We start from the raw sequence: 6,259 nt of genomic DNA on the forward strand, positions 1-6,259 counted from the left end.
TTCAGAACAGATACACAATGTTACTTGGACATTTCAGAATTATCAGAGAACATAGCATAGGCAGATAATTTTTGTAAGGGTTTTCTGTTTGTTTGTTTTTTTTTTTTTTAGCAGCGCTCTGTCTTCTAATAAAGGCCTGATTTATGAAATGAATGAAAACAGAGCTAGTTTGGTTGAACTGGACTTGGGGTGGGTGCTTTGGCTACACACCTACTCAAATCCACCTCTTCTCTCGACTTCTCTCTCTCTGCAGCTCTTTCTTGGGTTCTGTGGTGGAACTTTCTGGGCTGTGAAGCAATGCTGTTGAAAGGCCATTTGGTATTAGGGACTCCTGTTTGTGGCTCCTGGGATGAGGTGGTTATGATTTTGTTTTCCTTGTGTTTTGAACACTTAGCCCCTAATTTGTAACTTAAGTAGAAGATACCTTTTTAAAAAGTTTTACTGCTTTGAGTGCTAATCAGGTACTTGTTCTTCAAAGATAGCCTTTTATTTGAAGAACATTTTGCTTTTCAGACTTAAATACACAAAATTCAAGATTTATTTTTTCTACAAGAAAAAGGCCAAACACAAATGACTTACACAAACAACTGTAGAAACATGCTATAGTGACAATCTGATTCACAACATAGGAATAAAACACTACTAGCATCTACAGAAAATAGGAATATTGCCAATGTCTTCCTGCTTTTTTAAAAATTCTGTTTTGCATATAAGGAAATGGCTTGGAATGTTATGTGCTGCAAGAATATTTTGAGTCCTACATACAAGTGAATTTTTTTTTTTGCTACACATGTATATTGAGGTTTTTTTTTTTTATCACAGTGAAGAAAATGCAGTGAATAATACGATTTTCTTGAGGCCTGTTACTTTTAGTAGCTTAATGTGTAGTAAAGAATTGGAGTTGTTGACATTTCTTTCTGTGGTATTTTGTAATTTCTGAGCTACAGGATAGCCTTTTAAAAATGTGTTCACTAGATGCCATATGGCTTTAATTGGGTCTAACAAGGTCCTCCTGAAGCTTTGTTGGGTCCATATACTAGTTCTCTGATACATTTCTTTGTGGCTTTGCAATGTTATGTTGCACTATGCAGGGGATGTGTGTATGTGTGTAGTGGGCGTGGGAGGACATGGTGACGACCAGAAGCACCAAATACTATAAAACAACAAGTGTTCAGAATGCAGGCTTTTTTGAGTGGCCCTTGAGAACTCCATGGATGGTGCTGGTGTCCTGTGGATACTGGTGCTGCTTTCCATCCTCACCTCTGACTAACTTGCAGACATTACAGATCTCACTTAGTTTAGGATATCAGCAGTGGCCTAAACCTAAATTTGCAGATCTCTCACAATAGTTTTTTTATAATTCTTAAGACGATCCTCAAAGCATTTGCTCTTGAAAAGCTGAATTTATGGTTAGAAGCTTGTGAAATCCTACATTCTTGTCATTAAACTGAGACTGTTGAGCTGTATGTATTGCTGGTGTATAATGAGAGGAAAGTCGTAGTTTCACAGTAGCCTATTCACTGCACAATTTTCTGAGATCACCTGGATGTATTGTCATGGAAGCAAGCAAGAGAGTTTAGAGTGCCACAGCAAGCAAAGCATCTTAGTAAGATGTGGTTCAACATCACTGATTTGTCCTATGCCTTTCTGTAGCCCCTTATTCCCCCCAACTTTTTTTTTTTTTTTGAGATGGAGTCTTGCTCTGTCGCCAGGCTGGAGTGCCGTGGTGCGATCTCGACTCACTGCGACCTCTGCCTCCTGGGTTCCAGCGATTCTCCTGCTTCAGCCTCCTGAGTAGCTGGGACTACAGGTGCCCGCCACCATGCCCAGCTAATTTTTGTATTTTTAGTAGAGATGAGGTTTCACCATGTTGGCCAGGATGGTCTTGATCTCTTGACCTCGTGATCTGCCCACCTCAGCCTCCCAAAGTGCTGAGGTTACAGGCATGAGCCGCTGCGCGTGGCCTCCTCTTTTATTAACAGGAGCTTTCTCTGCCCCATTCCCCCCATTTATAAATGAAAGATAACAGGTTTTATGTGGCTGGGAATCAAATCATGGAAGGTGTCCTTCCAACTTAAGATTTTGAGATTCCTTGTGTAAAAACTGTTGAAGTCTGACTCTTCCTTGGTAGCTGCCTGATTACAGAGCTTCAGAGAGGAGCTGGGCAGGTCCCGGTGCTCTGCTGTGCCATATGCATGAGCAGTGCTCCTTTGGGTAGTCTTCAGTTGACTGTAGAAGGTGTGGAGTGGATAAGATTATTGGGAAGTACTGGGTAAGTCACATAGAACAAAGATTTGATTTAAACTGACTAGCTTAAATGTCACTCCTGGCCGGGCGCGGTGGCTCACACCTGTAATCCCAGCACTTTGGAAGGCCGAGATGGGCGGATCACGAGGTCAGGAGATCAAGACCCTCCTGGCTAACATGGTGAAACCCTGTCTCTACTAAAAATACAAAAAATTAGCCGGGCGTGGTGGCAAGCGCCTGTAGTTCCAGCTACTCGGGAGGCTGAGGCAGGAGAATGGCGTGAACCCGGGAGGTGGAGCTTGTAGTGAGCCGAGGTTGCGCCACTGCACTCCAGCCTGGGTGACAGAGTGAGACTCCGTCTCAAAAAAAAAAAAAAACACAAAAAAGTCCCTCCTGAGATTCCCAATAGGTTACAGCACTTAGTTTCTGCTAAGCCATAGCAAAACATAGTATGTTAACTGAGTGCCAAAGAATGGTGACCTTGCTTCTGCTCTAGACTCAGTGAAAGACCGTGGAGAACAGACACTTAGAATATGAGAGTCTGGAAACAAATTACAGTTGGGAAGACCAATCAGTATAAAAATAATGAAAGGGATTGAGGATTTTCAAGGATTAAAACACGTGTAGCCAGGTGCAGTGGCTCTCACCTGTAATCCCAGCACTTTGGGAGGCCTAGGTGGGAGGATTGCTTGAGGCCAGGGGTTTGAGACCAGCCTGGGCAATATAGCAAGACCGCATCTCTATAAAATAAAGTAAGTGTATTTCATACACACATTGTGGAAAGAATGTTTAGTTTTAGATTGATTTCCCTTGCAGGAATGCCTCACCAGTTCCAAAAAATATTTCCCAACCACTTTCTTCTTTTCCTCTTGGCCTGCCAATTCATCTCAATACAAGGTCTAAGTGTCCACAGCTCATCTCTTTCAGCTGCGTGTCTCGTCCATGGAAACGGGAGCCTCTGTGTCTCTTATGCATTGTGTTTGATAAATGGACGACTTTAACTTACTTGATGCCCAGCCTTCCAATTTGTCTCCTACCAAACCAAAAGTGCTGCCTTCTATTAGAGTCCAGATATTAGACTGAACAGTTAATCAGCAGCAACTTAGGAGTGAGTCTAGGACAGCTTTTGACAATATAGTTAGTAACCAGCCAGCTTGCTTGCCCTCTAGGATAAAGGAAAAGCGGAGACTCTTTTAAAGTGCTCTCAGGCAATGAGCTCTGCTCCAGGATAATTAAGCCACCACTTGTATCTGCAAGGCTGACTTAATGAGCTTAACCCGTGACTAACCTGCATCCTTTCACCAATTCAAAACACATAAAATGAGCCACCAGTGTTTTACAAAGTTGAATAAAGCATAAGAGATTAGTCTGCCCTCAGGGGCTGGAAGGGGCAGAACCTGAAAGGACACTGTGTGCTCCTGGGCTGGTTCGAGCTGAGGCTGTGCTGTTTGGAACTCTGCTGTGTTTGTTGTGTGAAGCACAGTCTGTGTGCTTCCTTTCCTTGGTCCCAGACCTTTGCTGCTTAAGCTGTGGAGTTGTCCTGGTCTGCTCACTCCAACCTCCCTGACCGATGCTGACAATGGCATCTCCCCTACAGCTCACAGCCCTGTAGTCACCTCACCTTCTTGGGGGCTGTCAGGCCTCTGAGCCCAAGCCAAGCCATCGCATCCCCTGTGACTTGCACGTATACGCCCAGATGGCCTGAAGTAACTGAAGAATCACAAAAGAAGTGAAAAGACCCTGCCCTGCCTTAACTGATGACATTCCACCATTGTGATTTGTTCCTGCCCCACCTTAACTGAGTGATTAACCCTGTGAATTTCCTTCTCCTGGCTCAGAAGCTCCCCCACTGAGCACCTTGTGACCCCCGCCCCTGCCCACCAGAGAACAACCCCCTTTGACTGTAATTTTCCATTACCTTCCCAAATCCTATAAAATGGCCCCACCCCTATCTCCCTTTGCTGACTCTCTTTTCGGACTCATCCGGCCTGCACCCAGGTGAAATAAACAGCCATGTTGCTCACACAAAGCCTGTTTGGTGGTCTCTTCACACGGACGCGCATGAAATTTGGTGCCATGACTCAGATCAGGGGACCTCCCTTGGGAGATCAATCCCCTGTCCTCCTGTTCTTTGCTCCGTGAGAAAGATGCACCTACGACCTCAGGTCCTCAGACCGACCAGCCCAAGGAACATATCACCAATTTTAAATCAGGTAAGCGGTCTCTTCTTACTCTCTTCTCCAACGTCTCTCACTGTCCCTCAACCACTTTCTCCTTTCCACTCTTCAATCTCTCCCTTCTCTTAATTTCAATTCCTTTCATTTTCTGGGAGAGACAAAGGAGACACGTTTTATCCGTGGACCCAAAACTCCGGCGGCGGTCACGGACTGGGAAGGTAGCCTTCCCTTGGTGTTTAATCATTGCAGGGACGCCTCTGATTATTCACCCACGTTTCAAAGGTGTCAGACCACGCACGGACGCCTGCCTTGGTCCTTCACCCTTGGCGGCAAGTCTCGCTTTTCTGGGGAAGGGGCAAGTACCCCAACCCCTTCTCTCCTTGTCTCTACCCCTTCTCTGCTTTCCTGGGGCAGGGGCAAGTACCCCTCAACCTCTTCTTCACCCTTAGCTGCTAGTCCCGCTTTCCTAGGGGGCAAGAACCCCCCAATCGCTTATTTCCACGCCCCAACCTCTTATCTCTGTGCCACAATCGCTTATTTCCGCGCCCCAACCTCTTATCTCTGCGCCCCAATTGCTTATTTCCGCGCCCCAACCTCATCTCTGCGCCCCAATCCCTTATTTCCGCGCCCCAACCTCTTATCTCTGTGCCCCAATCCCTTATTTCCGTGCCCCAACACTTTCTCTGCTTTTCTGGAGGGCAAGAAACCCCCACCCCTTCTGCGTGTCTCTACTCTTTTCTCTGGGCTTGCCTCCTTCGCTATGGGCAAGCTTCCACCTTCCATTCCTCCTTCTTCTCCCTTAGCCTGTATTCTTAAGAACTTAAAACCTCTTCAATTCTCACCTGACCTAAAATCTAAGCGCCTCATTTTCTTCTGCAACACCGCTTGACCCCAATACAAACTCGACAGTAGTTCCAAATAGCCGGAAAACAGCACTTTCAATTTTTCCATCCTACAAGATCTAAATAATTCTTGTCGTAAAATGGGCAAATGGTCTGAGGTGCCTGACGTCCAGGCATTCTTTTACACATCAGTCCCTTCCTAGTCTCTGTGCCCAGTGCAACTCGTCCCAAATCTCCCGCCTGTCCCCTCAGTCCCAACCCCAAGCGTCGCTGAGTCTTTCTAATCTTCCTTTTCTACAGACCCATCTGACCTCTCCCTTCCTCCCCAGCCTGCTCCTTGCCAGGCCAAGCTAGGTCCCAATTCTTCCTCAGCCTCTGCTCCTCCACCCTATAATCTTTTTATCGCCTCCCCTCACACCTGATCCGGCTTACAGTTTCGTTCCGTGACTAGCCCTCCCCCACCTGCCCAGCAATTTACTCTTAAAAAGGTGGCTGGAGAGCTAAAGGCATAGTCAAGGTTAATGCTCCTTTTTCTTTATCCCAAATCAGATAGCGTTTAGGCTCTTTTTCATCAAATATAAAAATCCAGCCCAGTTCATGACTTGTTTGGCAGCGACCCTGAGACGCTTTACAGCCCTAGACCCTAAAAGGTCAAAAGGCCGTCTTATTCTCAATATACATTTTATTACCCAATCTGCTCCCAACATTAAATAAAACTCCAAAAATTGGAATCTGGCCCTCAAACCCCACAACAGGACTTAATTAACCTCACCTTCAAGGTGTGCAATAACAGAAAAAAGTTGCAATTCCTTGCCTCCACTGTGAGACAATCCCCAGTCACATCTCCAGCACACAAGAACTTCCAAACGCAACCAGGCGTTCCTCCGGAACCTCCTCCCCCAGGAGCTTGCTACACGCGCCGGAAATCTGGCCACTGGGCCAAGGAATGCCCGCAGCCCGGGATTCCTCCTAAGCCGCGTCCCATCTGTGCGG

At 46.1% G+C, this 6,259-nt stretch overlaps 4 annotated features.

Moving 5' to 3' along the window:
* Nucleotides 132-301: an enhancer, noted in NCBI's record as "experimental_63244 CRE fragment used in MPRA reporter constructs". NCBI's record gives its function as "activates a minimal promoter by MPRAs in K562 erythroleukemia cells, with activity observed for both the introgressed and non-introgressed 22:32895077 or rs73170400 variant alleles {active_cell/tissue: K562}" and the evidence as "EXISTENCE:reporter gene assay evidence [ECO:0000049][PMID:34662402]".
* Nucleotide 217: a transcriptional cis regulatory region, noted in NCBI's record as "Neanderthal adaptively introgressed variant 22:32895077 (GRCh37/hg19 assembly coordinates) or rs73170400 in the experimental_63244 CRE". NCBI's record gives its function as "modulates activity of the experimental_63244 enhancer by MPRAs in K562 erythroleukemia cells {active_cell/tissue: K562}" and the evidence as "EXISTENCE:reporter gene assay evidence [ECO:0000049][PMID:34662402]".
* Nucleotides 2,660-3,346: an enhancer, noted in NCBI's record as "H3K27ac hESC enhancer chr22:32897520-32898206 (GRCh37/hg19 assembly coordinates)". NCBI's record gives its function as "activates a minimal SCP1, AML or CMV promoter by ChIP-STARR-seq in primed H9 embryonic stem cells {active_cell/tissue: H9 hESC(primed)}" and the evidence as "EXISTENCE:reporter gene assay evidence [ECO:0000049][PMID:30033119]".
* Nucleotides 3,347-4,033: an enhancer, noted in NCBI's record as "NANOG-H3K27ac hESC enhancer chr22:32898207-32898893 (GRCh37/hg19 assembly coordinates)". NCBI's record gives its function as "activates a minimal SCP1, AML or CMV promoter by ChIP-STARR-seq in primed H9 embryonic stem cells {active_cell/tissue: H9 hESC(primed)}" and the evidence as "EXISTENCE:reporter gene assay evidence [ECO:0000049][PMID:30033119]".

The sequence above is a fragment of the Homo sapiens genome, chromosome 22 (genome assembly GCF_000001405.40).
Source record: "Homo sapiens chromosome 22, GRCh38.p14 Primary Assembly".
Taxonomy (NCBI): domain Eukaryota; kingdom Metazoa; phylum Chordata; class Mammalia; order Primates; family Hominidae; genus Homo; species Homo sapiens.